General features: G+C 42.0%; 1 protein-coding gene across 20 annotated transcripts in view, besides 1 other annotated feature; it reads right to left on the reverse strand.

Moving 5' to 3' along the window:
* The window catches only part of RGS7 (regulator of G protein signaling 7), a 582,489-nt gene that overhangs the window by 364,442 nt on the left and 195,836 nt on the right, over positions 1–22,211 (reverse strand). The window lies entirely within an intron of this gene.
* Positions 3,226–3,878: an enhancer, noted in NCBI's record as "OCT4-NANOG-H3K27ac hESC enhancer chr1:241305709-241306361 (GRCh37/hg19 assembly coordinates)". NCBI's record gives its function as "activates a minimal SCP1, AML or CMV promoter by ChIP-STARR-seq in primed H9 embryonic stem cells {active_cell/tissue: H9 hESC(primed)}" and the evidence as "EXISTENCE:reporter gene assay evidence [ECO:0000049][PMID:30033119]".

Consider the following 22,211-nt stretch of genomic DNA (forward strand, 5'->3'; position numbering starts at 1 on the left):
CCTTCTTCTCTCTTTCCTTCCTTTCTTCCTCCCTTCCTTCCTCTCTCCCTCCCTTCTCTTTCCTTCTTTTCTTCCTCCCACTCTCCTTTCCTCCCCATCTTTCCTTCCTTCTTTCCTTCCTTCCTTCCTTCCTTCTATTCTTCCTCTATTTCTTTCCCAGATAGCATTCCATTGTACTAATGTACTACATTTTGTTTATCCATTTACCAGTTGTGACACAAGTTAGGGTTGTTTCCACTTTAGAAATAACTGTGAATCATGCTTCAGCCAACATTAATGTGCTATTCTTTGGATAGAAATATGTTTTTATTTCCTTTGGGTAAATAGTGGATATTTGAAAGTGGAATCATTGGATCAAATGGTCAACTTAGGTTGACATTTTTAAGAAACTGCCAAACCATTCTCCAAAATGGCTGCACCACCTTATATTCCCATCAGCAAGTGTGAGGGGGTCTTATTCACATCCTGGCCAACATTCCTTGTTGTCTGTCTTTTTTATTATAACCATTGTTCTGAGTGTTTAGTGGTATCTCACTGTTTTGATTTGCATTTCCCTAACAACGACTGATGTTCATCGTCTTTTCATGCATTTATGCCATGCTTTCTAATAAAGCATTCATTTCAAAATACATTCATTTGACTATTCGCAACTGATCTTTTCTTGTCACTATAAATCCCCAACTTAGAAAAAAACTCTTCTGATCTTAAGAGTATTGTCTTGGTGTTTATAACCATCACCTAGGTGTCAGCCTGCATGGATTCTTTTAGAGAATGGCACCCAATAATTGTCCTGTTTCTGTGTGCTACCCCTTTATGTGAACAGCCCTGCAGAGGAAGAGCCTGCTGGATGTTCCTGATGGCCCTCCAGACCTGCTCTTCTCTCTTGTCTCCCCTCATCTGTGCTCTGGAGGCTGACTTTGTACCAGGATCCCTTGTGTCTGGCTTCGGATGGAGACACAGGCAGGTAGAGAGCAACATTGAAGAGCATTTTTCCTCTGCTCCCTCACTGTGGGCTGCAGTTTGGAAGTAGCCACTGCCTTTCCCTGCCTAGTTTTTAATTCTGGCCAAGCAGACCCTTTCCAGGGGCTGAATACACTTGAAAGCTCCTACCAGGAGCTCCCTCCTCTCATACCTTCAGGGTTAGAGATGGTAAGGGCTGTTTTGGGTGACTGGTCCCTTATTCTTCTCCACCCACTGATGGGTCCCTTAACCTTGTCAACCCTTCTGGAGAGAGCTTCTTTTTAACTATTTATTTATTTAAATAGAATAGAGATAGCATCTCACTTTGTTGCCCAGGCTGATCTCGAACTCCTGGACTCAAGTGATGCTTCCGCCTTGGCCTGCTGAGTAGCTAGGACTACGGGCAAGTGCCACCATGCTTGGCTAATTTTTAAATTTTTTGTGGAGACAGGGTCTTCCTACTTCCTATGTGACCTAGGCTGGTCTTGAACTCTTGGGCTCAAGCAATCCTCCTGCCTTGGCCTCTCAAAATGCTGAGAATACAGGTATGAGCCACTATGCCCAATCTGGACAGAGCATCTTTAACTCTCATTTTTCAAGTGTGTCTTCTCCTTTTTGCTGGGACTCTGATACAGGAGATAAGCAAAACTCCTTTGTGAAACCTAAGACCAGCACTTTTATGCATAAAACAAATGGTTAGTGCTAATGATTAACTTAAAGTAGTTTCTTCAGACATATTTGACACAACATTACCCACTAGTGCCTGTTCACCTCTGATCTTGTAGCACTTTGGGCTTTTCACAAGGACTTGTCACCCTCTACCTTGCTTTGTACTCACTTGCAGTAGGAGACAATTCCCACCACCTTCACCCCAAACAGCATAAAAATGTAAAAGTTTTTTCCAGTTTCCCTAAAGTCATCTGAGCAGCTCTCCCTAACCCAGAGGAGTGCAATTACTCTAAGAACCTGTCCATACAGGCGTTTTTTAGTAGATGTTCTTTACTCAGATTGGAGTTATGAATTGCTAACCGTCTAAATTCTCTACTGATTGGGAGAATGAGATGAGGAGTGAGGGGAAGAAAGGAATAAAGACTCATCTGAAGCTTCCTAAGAGGGCCAGCCCAGGAGAAAACAGCCATGAGGCAGTTCAAATCTGCCTAGCCAAGCCAGGGACAAGGAGCTGGGAATCCCCACGTGCTGTAACTGTCACAAATGCCACACTCAAATGCAGATCCCTGGGCCACTACAGATTCACTGTATTAATCCATTCTCACACTGCTATGAAGAAACCCTGAGACTGGGTAACTTATAAAGGAAAGAGGTTTAATTGATTCATGGTTCTGCATTGCTTGGGAGGCCTCAGGAAACTTACAGTCATGGTGGAAGACAAAGGAGAAGAAGGCATCTTCCTCATAGGGTGGCAGGACGGAGTGAGTGTCAAGCAAAGGCGGAAAAGTCCCTTACAGACCATCAAATCTCTTGAGAACTCAGTATCACAAGAACAGCATGGGGGTAACCACCCCTATGATTCAATTACCTCCCATAGGGTCCCTCACACCACGTGGGAATTATGGGAACTACAATTCAAGATGAGATTTGGGTGGGGATACAGACAAACCATATCATTATGCCCCTGGCCCCTGGAAAATCTCATGTACCCACATTTCAAAACCAATCATGCCTTCAGCATTAACTCAGAAGTCCACAGTCCAAAGTCTCATCTGAGATAAGGCAGGTCTCTTCCACCTATGAGCCTGTAAAATCAAAAGCAGGTTAGTTACTTCCTAGACACCGTGATGGTACACGCATTGAGTAAAGACAGCTGTTCCAAGTGGGAGAAATTGGCCAAAACAAAGGGGCTGCAGGCCCCATGCTAGTCCAAAATCCAGCAGGGCAGTCAAATCTTAAAGCTCCAAAATGATCTCCTTTGACTCCATGTCTCACATCTAGGTCATGCTGATGCAAGACGTGGGTCCCCATGGTCTTGGGCAGCTCCACCCCTGTGGCTCTGCAGGGTACAACCTCCCTCCTGGCTGCTTTCGTGGGCTGGCACTGAGTGCCTACAGGTTTTCCAGGTGCACAGTGCAAGCTGTCAGTGGATCTACCATTCTGAGGTCTGAAGGATGGTGGCCTTCTCAAAGCTCCACTAGGCAAGGCCCCAGTAGGGACTCTGTGTGGGGGCTCTGAACCTACGTTTCCCTTTTGCGCTACCCTAGCAGGGCTTCTCCATGAAAGCCCTGCCCCTGTAGCAGACTTCTGCCTGGACATCCAGGCATTTCCATACATCTTCTGAAATCCACGCAGAGTTTCCCAAACCTCAATTCTTGACTTCTGTGCACTCTCAGGCTGAACACCATGTGGAAGCTGCCAAAGGTTGAGGCTTTAACCCTGTAAAGCAATGGACTGAGCTCTACGTTGACCCCTTTCAGCCATGGCTGGAGTGGCTGGGATGAAGGACAAGTCCCTAGGCTGCAGACAGCATGGGAATCCTGGGCCTGGCCAATGAAACCACTTTTCCTCCTAGGCCTCCAGGCCTGTGATGGGAAGGGCTGCCGTGAAGACCTCAGACATGCCCTGGAGGCATTTTACCCATTGTCTTGGTAATTAACATTCAGCTCCTCCTTACATATGCAAATTTATGCAGCCAGCTTGATTTTCTCCTCAGAAAACGGGATTTTCTTTTCTATCATGTTGTCAAGCTGCGAATTTTCCAAACTTTTATGCTCTACTTCCATCATAAAACCCAATGCTTTTAACAGCACCTGAGTCATCTCTTGAATGGTTTGCTACTTAGAAATTTCTTCCGCCAGATACCCTAAATCATCTCTCTCAAGTTCAAAGTTCCACAAATATCTCAGGCAGGAGCAAAATGCTGCCAGTCTCTTTGCTAAAACATAACAAGGGTCATCTTTGCTCCAGTTCCCAACAAGTTCCTCATCTCCATCTGAGACCACCTCAGCCTGGATCTTATTGTTCCTATCACTATCAGCGTTTTTGTCAGAGCCATTCAACAAGTCTCTAGGGAGTTCCAAATTTTCTCACATTTTACTGTCTTCTTCTGAGCCCTCCAAACTATTCCAACCTCTGCCTGTTACCCAGTTCCAAAGTCATTTCCACATGTTTGGGTATCTTTTCAGCAATACCCCACTCTACTGGTCAATTTACTGTATTAGTCCATTTTCATGCTGCCGATAATGACATACCTGAGACTTGCCAATTTACAAAAGAAAGAGGTTTAATTGGACTTGCAGTTCCATGTGGCTAGGGAAGCCTCACAATCATGGCAGAAGGCAAGGAGGAGCAAGTCATGTCTTACATGGATGGTGGCAGGCAAAAAGAGAGCTTGTGGAGGGGAACTCCTCTTTTTAAAACCATCAGATCTCATGAGACTCATCCACTATCACAAGAACAGCATGGGAAAGACCTGCCCCCATGATTCAATCACTTCCCACCAGGTCCCTCTCACAACATGTGGGAATTCAAGATGAGATCTGGGTGAAGACACAGCCAAACCATATCTGCAAGCAAGGAGGGATGTACCTTTAGTAGAATTAAACCACTTATTTATGTGAAATACTACCACTGCTATGGTCTGAATGTTTGTGTCCCCCCTAGAAATTCATATGTTGAAATGAAATCACCACTGTATTTAGAGGTGGGGGCTTCAAGAGTTGATTAGATCATGAGGGCAAAGCCTCATGAATGAGATTAGTGCCCTTATAAAGGAGGCCTGAGGGAGATTGCTTGTCCTTTCTGCCATGTGAAAATACAGCGAGAAGGAACCATCTGTGAACCAGAGAATGAAACCTCACTGGTGACTAAATCTGCCAGTGCCTTGATCTTAGTACTTGCCAGCCTCCAGAACTCTGAGAAATACATTTCTATTGTGTATAAGCCACTCAGCCCATGATATTTTCTTATAGCCGCCTGAGTGGACTAAGGCAGTAATGTAAAGATTTTACTAGCTTTTATAGTAAAAATCTAGCTTTTCTAGTTTGTTCTTCATATATATATATATATGAGCATTTTCAAACAGAGTACTTCTGGAAGCTGAACAACAGTGTCTCCTGTTAAAAAATTCAAATCCTCATCCAAATTGACATACATGTGCTGGCGCATATGTTGTTTATTTCTCTGCTGTTTATACCAAACTTTTCCTGCAAACGCATCCATCACACACACATGTGGATACGCACAGGCACACACATCCAAATACACTGCAGGTAAGACCCACTACTACTAGTCTCACAGTTTCACAGTGATGTTGGGCCAAAAACCTGATCCATTATTACTTACTGCGGTTCACGGAAGCAGCTTTGTAAACCTACATAAAGATTCCCCCTTCCTTGGGAAGCCATAAATGCAACGTTTCACTGAGCAGCATGGAGGCAGGGTGTTAACCTGCTGTGTGACTGCTTTCAAAGAGCCAGCACTCCTCAGCAGAAGCCTAATCATCTCTGTGGATGTGCTGTCCTGGGCCTGCTTCGATAAGTGCTGTTTATGTGGCTGTATTTTCAAGATAGCATGGAGGGATGCTAAACTTGGTATTTGAAATCTGTTTTTCCTCACGGCAGCAACAAGCCTGCAGCACAGCGCTACCAGCCAGCTAGCCAACCCCACAGCCGCCTGTTGGGCAAAGGAACCCTGGAACTCGTTGAGGTTGCAGGAACATACAGAAGATCATTTCTCCTCTTTCATTTTCTTGCTGCCTTTTCTTTCTTAAAATCTTAACGTCCCAAAGGAACAACTGATGTGAGTCAGTATGTGTTGGCAGGGCAGGATGGTGTGTGTGTGTGTGTGTGTGTGTGTGTGTGTGTGTGTTCGTGTTCATTCTTCCTGTTCCTGTTTTCCCACCTCAGCCTTGGGTGTCGATGAAACTTTTTTTTTTTTTGAGATGGAGTCTCGCACTGTCGCCCAGGCTGGAATGCAGTGGCACGATCTCGGCTCACTTCCACTTCCGCCTCCTCAGTTCAAGCGATTCTCCTGCCTCAGCCTCCCGAGTGGCTGGGATTACAGGTGCCTGCCACCATGCCCAGCTAATTTTTTGTATTTTTAGTAGAGACGGGGTTTCACCATGTTGGCCAGGCTGGTCTCGACCTCCTGCCCCTGTGATTCTCCCGCTTCAGCCACCCAAAGTGCTGAGATTACAGAAATGTTTTATATACCTATTTGCTCCAGGCAGAGTTTGAAGGCAGAGACTTATATCAATTAGAGATCCATAAAAGCCAGTGAGGTGACATGAACAAAAGCATTCCCACCAACACTGGAAGTATTCAAGCCAGATTTTAAACATGAGATTTCCACTTTAGGATAAAGGTTGGATCCGATAACTTTGAAGATCCTCTGCCATTTAAAAATTCTATGGGCCAGACGTGATGGTTCACGTCTGTAATCCCAGCACTTTGGGAGACAGAGGCAGGAAGATCACCTGAGGTCAGGATTTCAAAGCCAGTTTGGCCAAGGTTGTGGCACATGCCTGCAATCCCAGCTACTTTGAGGCTGAGGCACAAGAATCACTTGAACCTGGGAGGTGGAGGTTGCAGTGAGCCGAGATCATGCTCCTGCATTCTAGCCTGGGCGACAGAGTGAGACTCTGTCCAAAATAAACAAACAAATAAATAAATTAAATAATAAATACAAAAATAAATATTCTGTGATGCCATGATCTTACTCCCAGTTTAATGAACAGTTCTGATGGTGATGTTTAGAGTGAAACTCATAGTTTCCTTGAATATTTTCCTACTTTGCATATTTCCCAAGATGCTTTTTCCATTTTGAGGAAGATACAAGATAAGATACTTCTCACTGAAAGTTCTCCTTTAAGGGGAGAAGCAATGGCATCTGAATCTCAAAGTTTGGAAAAAATAAACCGTTTTTTATCTCTTGGCTGAAGGCAAAGTGAAGAAGTAACCACAGCTCAGCTCTGTGGAGAGTGGGGGTGGCAGATGGGAAGGTGAAGGAAGGAAAAGCAAACACAGTCAGCCCTCCCTCCACACTGGCATCCATGCATCCACGGATTCAACTAACCAAGGACCAAAATATCCCAAAAATAAGAAGAAAAATTAAAATGACAGTACAATGAAAAAAAAATACAATCTAATAAGACAATAGAGCACAACAACTATTTCAATAACATTTACATTGTATGAGGTATTATAAGTAATCTAGAGATGATTTAAAGTATATGGGAGTATGTGCCCATATACACAATGGCAAATCCTATGCCGTTTTATATAAGAGACTTGAGCATCTCCAGATTTTGGTATCTGAGGGGAATCCTGGAACCAATTCCCTGCAGATACTGAGAAACAACGCTATGCTCTGGGCAGAAGTACTTCCAGAAGAGCCACACGATTGTTCCCCTATCCTTGCTCAACAAAATGCCAGCATCAGAAGAAACAATGGAAAAACCTGATTCTTTCACAAGAGCTGACCTCTGACTATAAAGGATTTAGGGACAAGATTCCCAACCTACTCTATATGGCAAAGGAAGAAAATAAAATGTTATCTTCTTTCTCCCCAGAGGTCACTCATTGCTTTTCCTCTCCAAAATATGCTTGTCTTAGTTCATTCAGCGGCTATAACAAAATACCATAGACTGAGTGTCTTATACACAACAGGAATGTATTGCTCACAGTTCTGGAGGCTGGGAAGTCCAAGATCAAGGTGACAGTGGATTTAGTGTCTGCTGAGGACCCACTTTCTGATTCATAGATGATGCTTTCTTGCTGTGTGGGCACTAATCTCATTCATAAAGGCTCTACCTTCAGGGCCTAATCACCTCCCCAAGCCCCAGCCTCCTAATACCATCGTATTGGGGGTGAGGATTTCAACATGTGAATTTTGGGGACGTAGAAACACTCGGCTTATAGCAGTGCTCTTTTTATTTTGCCTTACTGATAGCTAAGGTCACTCTGTGTGCACATTTATTTCACACTTGAAGCATCCCTGGTGTTTTTAATAATCACCTCCAGCCTGTCACGTGAAATTAATAACACACACACACGACTCCATTTTTCATCAAGGCCACCTTCCAGAAAGAAATTACTCTTTGACTACTCAGAGAAAGGTGCAGAGATTATTATAAAAATCAGGAGAGGCAATGAATAATATGAAGAAATTCAGTGTCCCAAGTTCTTTTCCTCCCACACTTATTTGTAGCCAGTGTGATCATTCCTTATGCACCTAAACTGCATAATCTAAATTAATTCCAATGTGTTGTAGAGTTTCACCACCATTACAGTTTGCTGTGATTAGCAAACCTTAACCTAGTGCCTTCATGTAGAAGTATGACTATTTTCACAGTTTTGTATGAATGTACTTGCTATATGACCTTGGGTAACTCACTTTACCTTCTTTGTCTTGGTCTTTTACCATCTGTAAAATATAGTATAGTTTTTCCTTCTCCATATTTTATGATTAAGAAAAAATAGAAGATGGTTAGAAAATAATAGGAACACATGATTCATGCAATCATGCCAAAAGTACCAGGAAATCACATTTCAACATATAATTTCTATGCAGGTTATCAGTAAAGCACATCTTTAAATCACTTTCAATCAATTCACAAGGTAACAGAATTTTGATTTTTTTCCCCTTTTTAGGTGCGGATTAAATATCCCATCTAGATTAAGTTTTATATATATATATATATATATATATATATATATATATATGTAAGAATCAATGCAATATCATATAGGTCTCAAAATACGTTATTTTCTTACTCCTTCTTTACATTCTTCTCATTAAGTCATTTTTTTCACTTAACAAATATTAATTGAGTGGCTACTATATTCCAAGAAGTATGTTAGGCATCACAGGCTCTCATTTTATCTATATGCCTGGTGACAGGATAGCTTTGCCTTGACTATATGGTGTTTTCAAATTTTCTTTCTTTTCTTTTTCTTTTTTTTTTTTTTTTTTGAGACGGAGTCTCACCCTGTTGCCCAGGCTGGAGTATAGTGTGCTATCTTGGCTCATTGCAGTATCTGCCTCCCGGATACAAGTCATTCTCCTGCCTCAGCCTCCCAAGTAGCTGAGATTACAGGTGTGTGCTACAATGCCCAGCTAATTTTTATAATTTTAGAAAAGACAAAATTTTGTCATGTTGGCCAGGCCAGTCTTGAACTACTGACCTCAAGTGATCCACCCACCTCGGCCTTCCAAAGTGCTGGGATTACAGGCATGAGCCACCATGACTGGCCTCAGATTTTCTATTGACTTCATTTCTATATAGCCAGACAGTAATGAATTGGTTCTGCTGAAAACTGTGGTCAGGATAAGTTAGAAACCCTTTTGTTTCCTTATGTATGTCTTTCTAAATTTCTGCTGAGCTACATCTTAATACCTTATTCCCAGACCTCAGCTCAGTGCCCCAGTGCCTGACACAAAATAGGCTCAAATAATAATTAGTTGAAATATAAATAATGATCATAATGCTAAATGACAAACAGCCCTTCTACTACTGGGTGACCTCGGGCAAGTCACTGCATCTGATGCTCTCTTCATTCATAAAATAATAGACAAGGCTGGTGGTTGCTAACCAGCTGGGTCAAGACTGGTGTTATTGTAAAGATGTGAAAATGCATATACATTCTATAATAAGTCCTACATAAAAACAGAATATACTATTTGTCATATATATATGTATGTGCGTATGCACACCACACATAAAACAAATAACAGTTTTACATGCATGTAGATTACTGTGTCTAAGAAAACCAGTATCATTTAAAAGCACTGTAGAGTTTATAACATCTTTTGGCTACTATGTATTTCGTTAATGAGCACATACAAAAATGTAAAATTACAACCATTTTGACATTCTAAAACACCTTCACACTCCAACAGGGCATCACTGGATTAAATGATCTTCAATGTCCTATCTAGCACAAATATCTGTGGTTCCAATTCAACAGAAAGCAGAAAATATTTCTCAAGTGTTAGCTATATACACAGCAAACAACCAAGTGGAAAGCAGAAAATACAGCCAATGAACTCTACAAGTAGAAAATGTGAGCATTTTCTCTTTTTTTTTGAGATGAAGTCTTGCTCTTGTTGCCCAGGCTGGAGTGCAGTGGCGCAATCTCGGCTCACTGCAACCTCCACCTCTCAGGTTCAGGTGATTCTCCTGCCCCAGTATCCCGAATAGTTGAGATTACAGGCATGTGCCACCACGCCCAGATAATGTTTTTGCATTTTTGTATTTTTTGTAGAGACGGGCTGGTCTCAAACTCCTGAGCTCAGGTGATCTACCCACCTTGACCTCCCAAAGTGCTGGGATTACAGGCATGAGCCACTGCACCCAGCCTCATTTTCTTTTTTACTAAAGCTGCTGCCATGACTGGCTTTATCATGCCACTCCCCCTCCCCTGTCCCCAAGGTACACTGGCATGGTCCTGCTCTCCAGAGTAAGTTCTACACATAAATGACCCTTTTCCCTTTGTCCAGTAAATGGCTGGGCCATGTCCTTTAAACCAGCAGTAGCTGTTAACTCTTGGTTAACCACACCCCATACCCACAATGTCAAGCAATAAATGTTTTTGGGAGATAACTAAAGAGGCTGCTGGAAACATTTGCTGCATGTTCAATAGTGACTGACAGTGGAGAGGAGGGAGTGGTGGGCATTTCTTTTATTTTTATATTTTGAGATGGAATCTTGCTCTGTCGCCCAGGCTGGAGTGTAGTGGTGGGATCTCAGCTCACTGCAACCTCCACCTCCAGGGTTCACATGATTCTCCTGCCTCAGCCTCCCGAGTAGCTGGGATTACGGGTGTGTGCCACCATGCCCGGCTAATTTTTTGTATTAGTAGAGACAGGGTTTCACCATGTTGGCTAGGCTGGTCTTGAACTCCTGACCTCAAGTGAACTGCCTGCCTCGGCTTCCCAAGATAGGCATTTCATAAGAATCATACAACCTGTCCTCCCTGTACCTGGGGCATACACAGACCAAGGGTACAATGCGTATGAGCTAAAGAGATCCTGGCTGCAACGTATTTGAGCAAAAAAATAATAATCATTTGTATTATACAATGAAGAGAGATGATGAAATGGTTGTGACTTATTTGAGAATATAAACTATAGTGATCAATAAAATCACATTTGGTGCGGTATTTAACCCATTTATAGAGATGTATATTTTCACTCTATGTTAATTTGCAGGGACATTTGAGAGGAAATGTCTGTATAATAAAAACATTAAAATAGAAATATTTCAATCTCAGTTTTGCCTAAGGCCCCAAGTCCTTGTTTATCAGGATTTGAAAACAAGATAACCAGAAAAAAAAACTTTATGACTCTGAGTCCCTCAGTCATCTTGAGGATATAAATCTGATATGTATATTAAGGGTTCAAAATGGTAGGATTAGAAATTAAAATAAGGCTTATTTGGATAAATTGTTCTATAAACCCCCTCCCATAGGGAGTGTGGGGGAGTTTGCCTCTCACCTCAATCCAAGAGAAAGGTTTTAGACATCTTGATATGTAGCCCCTGGGGTTTGGAAACTGTATTAGTCAGTGTTCTCCAAAGAGACTGAATCAATAGAATACAGATATAGATGTAGATACAGATAGATGTGAGGGAATTTATTAGGGGAATGGAGTCACACAATTATGGAGGCTGAGACATCCCACATAGGCCTTCTGCAAACTGGAGAACCAGAGAAGCCAGGAGAGTGGCTCAGTCCAAGTCCGAAGGCCTGAGAATCAAGGAAGTTAATGGTGTAGCTCTGTCTGAGGCCAAAGGCACAAGAACCCAGAGGGCCACTGTTGCAAGCCCTGGAGTCCAAAGGCGGGAAAACCTGGAATCCGGATGTCCAAGGCCAGGAGAAGAAGGGCATCCCAGCTCCAAAAGAGAAGGTGAGCAAGAGTCTGCCCCCTCCTTCCACCATTCTTTTTCTATCTGGGCCCCTAGCTGTTTGCACGGTGTCTGTCAACATCAGGGTGGATCTTCCCCACTCAGTCCACTGGCGCACATGCTAGTCTCCTGCATACACACCCTAACAGTCGTGCCCAGAAACAATGTTTCACCAGCCATCTAGGCATCCCTCAATCTAGTCAAGTTGACACCTAAAATTAGCTATCACGCAGACTGATGTCTGATTTGTGCTATAACATCTATGGAAAGAGAGACGGTAGCGGATACGCAGTTCTGATTGTGGCCTGAAGAGAGGGCAACAACCTGTCCCCACAGAGAGTCAGAGCAAAGAAAGCCCAAGTTCCTTAGACTCTGCTCAGGAAGCCTGTCCAGCCATGCAAGAAGACTCCAGCAGAAGGAAAATGAAGGGGTGCCACCTGCATGCAGCGGGTGAAGGGCTGAAGAAGGGATCCTAAACAACCAGGAGAGGAGAAACACTCAACTCTGTCAAAGACACTGCAGATAGGAGATGTCAAGTGAACTGACAGGATGGATTAGGAACTCTTTTTTTTTTTTTTTTTTTTTTACTTTAAGTTCTGGGTTACATGTGCAGAACGTGCAGTTTTGTTACATAGGTATACACATGCCATGGGTTTGCTGCACCCATCAACCCATCACCTGCAACACCAGGCTGCCACAACACTTGGGTTACACCTAATGAGGTGACTCCATTTCCATTGTATTGCTATTCTGGTTAGTGAGAAGACACACTATAGGATAAAGTTTGCATTAGAAGAGCCAGGAAAATATGAAGTAGAATTCCTCTTTAATTAATGTTAAAGAACTTAATCACAGAGGGAGAAATAAATGTTCACATTGGCACCCATCGATATCATGAATGGAATACAAGCTCCATGGTACCATGTGCTTCCTCTCTTGTAGGATATGGACTGAGCCACCTTGGCAAACTATGCCCATGGTATATTCACTTCATCAACAAAGCTAGTCCAGAACATTCTATGCATTTGCTTCTTATAACCTGATTCTTGGCCACTTAAGCAGCATTCTCAATGCTTCCAATGAGTGAAAATGAAAAAAAGAGGACAAAATAAGCCAATAATTCCAGCTCATTAGCAGCCAAAAAAAAAAAAAAAGATCTTTGGGCAAGCCAAAGTTCTAAGGGGAAAGGGGGAATAACGACCTAAAGACCAGTGCCACGTATGTTTGATACTCTTAACTGTAACTCTGGAACAACAACAACAAAAACCCCATCCAGGTTTAAAAATATGTGTAAAACACCATATTATAATATAATCTCATGTTTATTATTTTAAAGTAGGAAAATGCAGATAGTGTGTCTTTTGCATCACTGTTGAAAATACGATCATTCATTGAAGACAGAGCAGTGGTATCCTAGTTAAAACTCTTTCAAGTTATTCAACAATAATTGGGAGCTTCATCAATAGCAATTGCTATTTTCCATCACTGAATGCAACTCATTCCTGAAGCCCATTGAACACTCCAGAATATTGTGCAGGCGTAGGTCTTGCTGACTCAGTTGTAGCCAGCAATATTTAGTCATGCTCCTCGTCAGGTACTTCTGGCTCTCTATGATGTGGAGAAATGGTAGGAGGATGTCATTTGGACCCCTGTGTTCAATGGAGCAATGTGGTTGGTTCTGGCCAATGAGCTGTGAGTGGAAGAGACCTGCCGCTTCTGCCGAGCATTTCGTATATGTGTGGGTGTGAGTATACTCTCCTTCTCCTCCCATGGTGGCCAGCAACGTTCCAGGGGCTGAGCCCCCTGAGAAGCAATGCCCCCATTTGCCAGAGTCAGCCATGTAGTATGAGTGAGGAAGAAAACTTTGTCTTAAGCCCATGAGATTCAGGGGTTATTTGTTACTACCTGTTAACCTCCCCTGACTGATACAAAGGTCTTATTGTCTACCTCCTTACTGATATTGACTGATCAGGTCACTTACTGAATATGCCTGGACTGCAACTCAGTGCCCATTTTTATTTTAAAGATCGATGAGTTGTTTTATGATTGGAACTTGGGGTAATACAAATAATACATTTCCCATACGAGCATCACTAAGAGTAAACATTGACTGACAATGAATAGTCATTGTTGATTTGCACATAAACCCACAGGTAGATTTTGTTCATTTTGTAAGATAGAAATTAGATGCATTTGTCAGGCTGATGACTGAGGGTGGGAGCATCATGGAGAGTCACATTAGAAGTGGTGACACCTGCCATGAGGGCACAGCATTTGTGCAGGTACTGTGAGACCAAATGCACTGCCTTCAAGCTGGATGCAATGTAATCAATCCACTTTAACATGAGTAATCATTGCTGAGCATTTAACATGAGAATCATATTATAACACATATTATGAGGCGCTGAACAATTTGGTGAAGAAGAGAGTTATACAAGTTATATCGATGAGTTCAGATGATTTGAAAAAAAAAAAGTGGTTAGATTTACAAAAGGCAAGGAAGGAAAATGTGTAAAGGGAAATACTCTGTGCTGCTCCTCCAGAAAGACATTCCCCAACAGAGGGGGGCTTGCCCCAGTGCGGTACCACCTGTGTTGGGGCAGGTAAGCCCACCTCTTTGGGTGTTCAGCATTGGATAACACATTTACCTGCAGATCTAAACCACATCCCGCAGTGTAGACTTTTTCAGTAATAATGGTGGAAACCTGATCTCCTTGGCCTTACTACTTTGTTCTATGTTTCAATTTGTCCAGAATAGGGACAGAGAAGCAAGTGCTGTTGATTGGTCTCTTCAAATACAGCAAGGGAAAGTCCTAATGGAGAAGCCAGTCTTAGGCTGAGATGGGAAGGAAGGAAGAAATGGGGTTTGAACGTGAGGAGGATGGGAAGTATTCCAGGATACAGTACTATGGCACAAAATCAAGGACTAAATGCTTATCTGTCTATTTTTTGAGTTCTGTAAAGTGCTTTCACATACATGATAAAAATGTGTAATGGCACTGATGGTCAGTGTAAATCCTGTGCTCTCTTCTGTATCCAAACACTGGCAGCCCTGGACTCCTAGTGAAGGAGACAGACATGTGTCCTGTTTTTGTGGCGAGATTCTAGTGGTGAAGTTAGACAGGAAGCAAGTAGTACGTATATAAAGTATTTTCAGATACTGATTAGTGCCATGAATGAAAATAAGGGAGGGTAAGGAGACAGGATAGTGGAGGCTCGCTCTTCTGGGCAGTTGGTTAGGTCTGGTCTGTGAAGATGGGTCTTTGATCAGAGTCCTAACTGCAAGGAGACAAAGAGCCCCAAGGAGAAACAGGAAGGGAAGAATCTCAGGCAGCAAGAAAGGCAATAGTACAGACCCTGAGGGGAAACGTGTTTGGCTGTGGAGGAGGCCAGTGTGGCCCTAGGGGATCAGGAGGGGTGAGTCCAGGGGAAGAAAGCCATAACATGCAAGTAGCAGCTGGAGGAGGACCCCAATGTCCAAGGTCAGGGGCCCTGAAATGAAAGAAAAGGCCAGTGAAAGCCAGGACTGTGCCCAGAGAAGGCGAAGTGATTAGAACACTCTTGAAAATGAATCTGCTACTGGGTTAGGGTGTCTCCCCGAATGTCGGGAAAACTGGCCAGAGGTCATTAAAATATTGCAGGTGCGAGATAATTAGAACCTAGCCTTGGGCAGTTATTACAGGTGCTAAAATCTGAAAACTCAAACTGAGGAAAATTGGCAGAGCTGGGAGACTTATTGGATGACAAGGGCAAAGAGGAGAGAGAAATGGCAGACAATTCAGGGTCACTGGCTGACTTTCACTGTCAGTGATGGCAGACGTGGGAGGGGAGGCCATCTAACAAATGCTCACGTCTAGGGCTTATGTAGTCAACGGTGAGAGCAACCTGCAAAAAAATAAAAAATAAAAATACTGTTCCAAGAGCCATTTTTTAAAAAAAGAATGTCACGCAGACTGAAAAAGAAAATCAAAATAAAATCAAGAAAAGGGATTGTATTACAAACTCACTATTCTCAAGATAAACTGAAAAAGGCAAATTTCATACTTAGTAATGAGAACAAAATAAACACTTTCAATTGATTAATATTGCAATACAATCATTTTGATTATGTGTCTTTATTTTATTTGTTATTTTTTCAGTCAGGGTCTCACTGTCTTGCCTATGCTGGAGTGCAGTGGCAACCTCTGCCTCCCAGTCCAAGCAATTCTCCCACCTCAGCTTCCCAAGTAGCTGGGATTACAGGTGCATACCCCGAGGCCCAGCTAATTTTTGTATTTTTTGGTAGATATGGGTTTCACCATGTTGGCCAGGCTGGTGAACTCCTGACCTCAAGTGATCTCCCCTCCTCTGCCTCCCAAAGTGTTGGGATTACAGGCGTGAGCCACCTCACCTGGCCAGATTATGTGTCTTTAAAAAATAAAAATGAAGACATGCATAAATTAGTATAGTAGAAGGAAAAAAGAGATACGACACCTTTTATCTTTTTTAGGGATCAATGAAAGGCCAAGAGATTTGAGAACTGTAAGAAAGCCCTGAGAAGCACATTGTTCAAAATTTATGCTCACTTGAAAAAAAGAAAAAAAAAAAAAAAAAGGAAATGACCTAGGCTGTTACAAAAGTTAAACCCAAATTGAGCACCTTTTAAATAAGGTTGTCAAAGGTTAAGTATGTTTGAGGTAAAATTATTTCCCCAGTCTCAAAATGAAATTTCCAGTAGACTTTAGAAAAAAAAAATATGGAAAACAAACATACATGGAGAAACTGCATTTTACAACTGAACACTGGGTTTCAAGTAGAGTGATTTTTAAAAATCTCATATTTAGATACTGTCTGGTTTTAAAAATAGGCCAAATGGATCATAGGCTGAGAATCAGAAATCCTTCTTTTGGGTTGTCTCTTCTCCGTAAGCCTCAAGTACTTCTTAGTCCTTTCTTCATGACTAGATAAAATTATAGTAACTACCACAGGGATTATGATTCCTAGTCAAACATCAATCATAGTCCTACACACAAATGATGTCAAGTGCTAGGCACTGTCTAGGTTCTATAATATTAGAGTTCCTAAATTTACACACGCACGCACACACACACACACACACACACCTGAGATAGAGGATAGAAAGATAAATGATGATAGATAGATAGATAGATAGATAGATAGATAGATAGATACATATACATAGACAGACAGACAGAAAGATAGATGCTAGGCTGGGAGTGGTGGCTCACACTTGTAATTTCAGTCCTTTAGGAGCCTGAAGCTGGAGGATTGCTTGAGCCCAGGAGTTCAGGAGTTCAAGACCACCTGGGCAACAAAGCAAGGCTCTGTCTCTATGAAACACAAACAAACAAAAAATTAGCTGGACATGGTAACGCACACTTGTGCTCCCAGATACTAGGAAGGCTGAGGCAAGAGGATCACAGGAGCCCAGGAGGTCAAGGCTGCAGTGAGCCATGATTGTGCCACTGCACTCCAGCCTGGGCAACAGAGAGAGACTCTGTCTCAAAAAAAAGAAAAAAAAGAAAGATAGATGCTAGATAGATGATAGATGGAAAGGGGAAGGAAAGGGAAAGGGGAGAGGAGGGGAGGGGAGACGAGGGGAGGGGAGGGGAGGGGAAATCCCTTCACCGAAGACTTGTAGGTCAGGTCTCAAAGAGCAGCCAGCAGACAGCCTTCAGCTGTCAACTACATCAGGGATTGACCCAGCTGCAGAGAACTGCCTCACACAAGGTCACACCCCTTCCTGGGTGACTCACAATCAACTGACACAATCAATAAAACCTGTCTGTCTTGAGCCAAGTTGGCACAACTCTGAAGATCCATTCTGATTGTGGAGTTCCCTGTGAGGTCTGTGTGGCTGGGCCTGCATTGTAGCTCAATTTCTCCCCCTCCTCACTACTGTCTCCTCTCTTCCCTTCCAGATGTCATTACCAAGGATCCTTTTTAATTAGCATCCTATATTCCAAACTCTAACCACAGTCTGCTTCCTGTACTTGCATATATTCATTACATACATATGTGTGAGTGTACATATATGTTTTAAAAATCCCTAGCAAGAGTAAGTACGTTATTTGGTCAGTCAGCTGTTAAAACTTCCACTTTCTCCAGTTGTCTGGTGGAATTAAAAAAAAAAAAAGACTTTCACTTTTATTAGTGCAATTCATATCAGTGTGCCACTGGTAGCTCTTGGAAGAGAAGGAAGAGAGAGCTAATATGGAACCTGGAGACAAGTTCCACTCTGCTCCTGCTGAATGCCCTTCTCCTTTGCTTCTACCTACCTCCAGAAGTGCTGGCCATTGTCAGCTCCTGAAAAGGCTGATGCTCTGACCTGTTTCAGTGAACGGGGAGAGGACTTGAGGCTGGGAAACCTTTGGAATAGGCAAGGGGTCCCCCTACATAGGCTTCCCTCCATGACTCATAGTGTGTTCCTTGGTTCGCTCCCTGTGGTCAACCACCTGCTGCAAAAAGTCGTTCACTGCTGGTGTGAGAATCATTGTCACCTACACTCAAGTAAAAATGTGTATCAAAGGAACAGATGCTTCTCTTCCATGCAACCTGAATATAGATCTATCAGGCAAATTCAGACAGCTGTTCTAGATGCAGAGACCATCATATCTGCTAGGGGTCAGCAAACACTGACCATGGCTCAAATCTGGCCTGCCATCAGATTTTGTTGGGCCCGGGAGTGAAGAATGTTTTCAGGCTTTTCAGTGGTTGAAAAAAATAAAATAAAAAGCATAATATTTCATAATATGTGAAAATTATATAAAATCTAATTTGTAGTGTCCATAAATAAACTTTTTTCTTTTCTTTTCTTTTCTTTTTTTTTTTTTTTGATACTGAGTCTCGCTCTGTTGCCCAGGCTGGAGTGCAGTGGTGCGATCTGGGCTCACTGCAAGCTCCACCTCCCGGTCACGCCATTCTCCTGCCTCAGCCTCCCGAGTAGGTGTGACTACAGGCGCCCGCCACCACGCCTGGCTAATTTTTTTTTTTAATTTTTAGTAGAGACAGGGTTTCACCGTGTTAGCCAGGATGGTCTCATCTCCTGACCTTATGATCCGCCCGCCTCAGTCTCCCAAAGTGCTGGAATTACAGGTGTGAGCCACCACGCCTGTCCCCATAAATAAACTTTTATTAGGACACAGCCATGCTAATTCATTTACATATTGTCTATAGCTGCTTTTGATCCACAATAGCATAGTTGGGAAGTTGTGACAGATACCTGAAAGCCAAATATGTTTACTATCTGGCCCTTTGCAGAAAAACTTTGCCAACCACAGAGCTATGCGATTTAGGATTATACAACACAATATCACACATTTGCTTATTGGTGAACATCCAATGGGTGGATATTCACACAGATATAGACTTGTTACCTGTACATGTCTGTAAGTATCTGGCCTCTCATAAAACACTAAACACCTTCCACAGAAGTGCACAATGATGTAGAGACCCCACGTTATGCTCAAACCCAAGCGCTATCTTTCTTCACATCTTTTTAGTTCAAAATATCTGCCTTAAAACAGAACTGGAAAAACAACATTTGTCAAGTAAGTGCAGCCGTGTTAATGTTAAATAGATGAATGCATGGATGGATCTTTTAACATACAAGCAATGGAGAAGATATGCCAGCAATGATAATACTTGTGTTAGTGTGAAGGGTATTTTAGATCTGCCCCAAACTCAGGTAGAAAAAGTTTCCCTGACCTTTTCCCTACCAGTTTAGAATTTTAATTCATCCCAGAGAGTCAGTGGCTTTGACACAATAGCACTTACTCTTCAGATGCCTAAAATTTTATGGTCAAAAATATCAAAAGATTAGAAATGTGATTTTCAATCCCAAAAGCCACATTGAAGTTCAATTAAACAAAAATGCCTGGGGTTTTCATATGCACTGAAAATCATAAAAATCAATTTTATTACAAATCTACCCATGAAACCGTCTATCTGTCTCTCCATCCATCAATTTATTTCTGCAATATGTCTCAAAATAGCACCCAAGAGTTTGTGCCAATTCTTATTTTTCAAGATATATGAGCTTTTTCAAGTTCACAAGCTCCATAAACTTCACAAACTCCATATGGTGTTCACAAAGGAATAATAAATGTTTTTTATCTTTTACATTGTTTATGAACACATAATTCATTTTTACTATATCAATTGCTTGCCTAAGAAGTTACAATGCTTCCTTTTCTGCTTATTCTGGCTTACAAGCCTTTCAGAATTGAATCTTACCTGATCTGTTCAATATTACATTCTACATTACACACCCAATTTCACTGTATCTCACCCACCTGTCTTCCTACACACTAAAGCCCTTACTCCTCCTAATCGCCATGTTTTCATTATCTCCATGTCCCTTTTATGTGTTGTTCTTTCTACAAAGAAACCCCTTTTCTCCTCTTTTTGAAAAACACCTACTTATCCTTCTAGAACAACCTAAATGTAGGAACTTTCCAAATTCTCCAGGGAAATATAGCCCTTCCTTCCTTCCATCCATCCATCCACCCACCCACTCACCTACTCACTAATTTATCCCTTACTGAACAAACATACTGAGCATCTATTAGATGCTCAAAAATGTATAACAAATAAGCTATTTCTGCTTGGTTTATAAGGACACTGAGATATCAGCAAAGTGTTATGGGACCGAAGAAGAAGAAAATAGAAGAAAGACATCAAAGTCAAACTGGAAGTAGGACAGTTTGGAAAGCATTTCCCAGAAGAGGTGATACTGAGTTAAGTATACACAGGACAAGAATTATGCAGCCAGGTGGATGAGGGATGGGAAGAGGAGAAAGGGAGAGGGTGTTCTAAGCCAAAAACACAGCAGGTAAGAAACTGAGTCACCACTAGGAAAGTTAAATCAATATGGCAGAAAGAAAACCTGCTCCTTGGGTCATTTCATCATGCGTTTGGTAGAGCACTTACAACTTTATATTAAGTAATATGGGCTTGAGGTTCTGCTTTAGATAATATGGACTTGAGGTTCTTCTACCTTTTATTACCTGTCAGAAATAGGGTTTTAATCCCTGGGAGGTGAAGCTTGCAGTGAGCCAAGATAGCACCACGGCACTATAGCCTGGGTGACAGAGCGAGACTCCATCTCAAAAAAAAAAAAAAAAAAAAGAAAAAGAAAAAGAAAAAGAAATAGGGTTTTCATCTGGAAATATTTGGGGCTAAGTGTTGTCCTGAAAGGAACTTTGGAAAAGAAATATTCCATTACACTTGCTTTGTCATCTTGTGATACAGACTCAGCCCATGGATCAACAAAATGCCTTCATTCTCAACAGTCCAAAGAGCTCTGGGTAGGATCTCACCTTCCTTACAAAATTCATGTCAGATGTTGAATAATAGACATTATTCTGTTCCTCTTCCAAGTGAGAGACAATGAGTGGCTCATCCCCTGAACGGTGTGTGGAATAAGGTGAAACATGTAGCAATCAAGAAACTGGACTCATCCCCTGAACGGTGTGTGGAATAAGGTGAAACACGTAGCAATCAAGAACTGGACTCATCCCCTGAACGGTGTGTGGAATAAGGTGAAACACGTAGCAGTCTAGAACTGGCTGCAGAATATATGTTTGGATTTTGTAACTTTCATGCTCCCAAAACTCAGAGTCATTTTTCTACATTGGCTCTTTCCCTGTATTATCAATTGTACCCTTCACATAACAACTGTTTCCTAATGGCAACCAATCAATTCAGAATTCAAATGGCGATTCGCCAGTTTGATATCTACGTTGCCCTGGGGTTATGGAAGAAGCTGCAAATTTTGGGGTACTGTTCCAGCTTATTAAATCTTTTTATTGAAATTTGATTCATCTTTTCCTGACCTTATCAAACCATCCCGGCCTTGTCATCTACAGCAGGACTTTGCAAAGTGGACTCCTGTCGCTTGCTGCATTTTACTGGTGTGAAATCAGAAGGAGTATGGTGGATAATGCATTTTGAATCCGGTTAGACATTAATTATTAGGTTGGGGCAAAAGTGATAGTTTTTTTTGCCATTAAAAAACCATGATCACTTTTGCCCCAACCTAATAACACCCAAACCACCTGTAGAAATGATTTAAGAAATCTTCAACTCAAATGCCTTCTTTCAGGAGGAGTTTTAAAATAGAAATTACATCATTCCAAGGTTGTGTCTGCATATGCAGTTGTATCAAAAAACTTAAATGTAATTTTTGAGGGAACTAAGCCAGGAGAAAGGGCCATAGTGATGAATGTATCCAAAAGTAGCCATCAGAGAATCCGTGAGTTCTTACACTGACACAGGAAGACCACTGTGTTTGACAGATGCAAAATTTCCATTCAGATCTGGTCAGCACTCTTCACCTAACTGGTGTTTTTAAGAGATAATTAAAACTGTTTGCACAATGGCACAGTCCATG

The sequence above is a fragment of the Homo sapiens genome, chromosome 1 (assembly GCF_000001405.40).
Source record: "Homo sapiens chromosome 1, GRCh38.p14 Primary Assembly".
Lineage (NCBI taxonomy): Eukaryota > Metazoa > Chordata > Mammalia > Primates > Hominidae > Homo > Homo sapiens.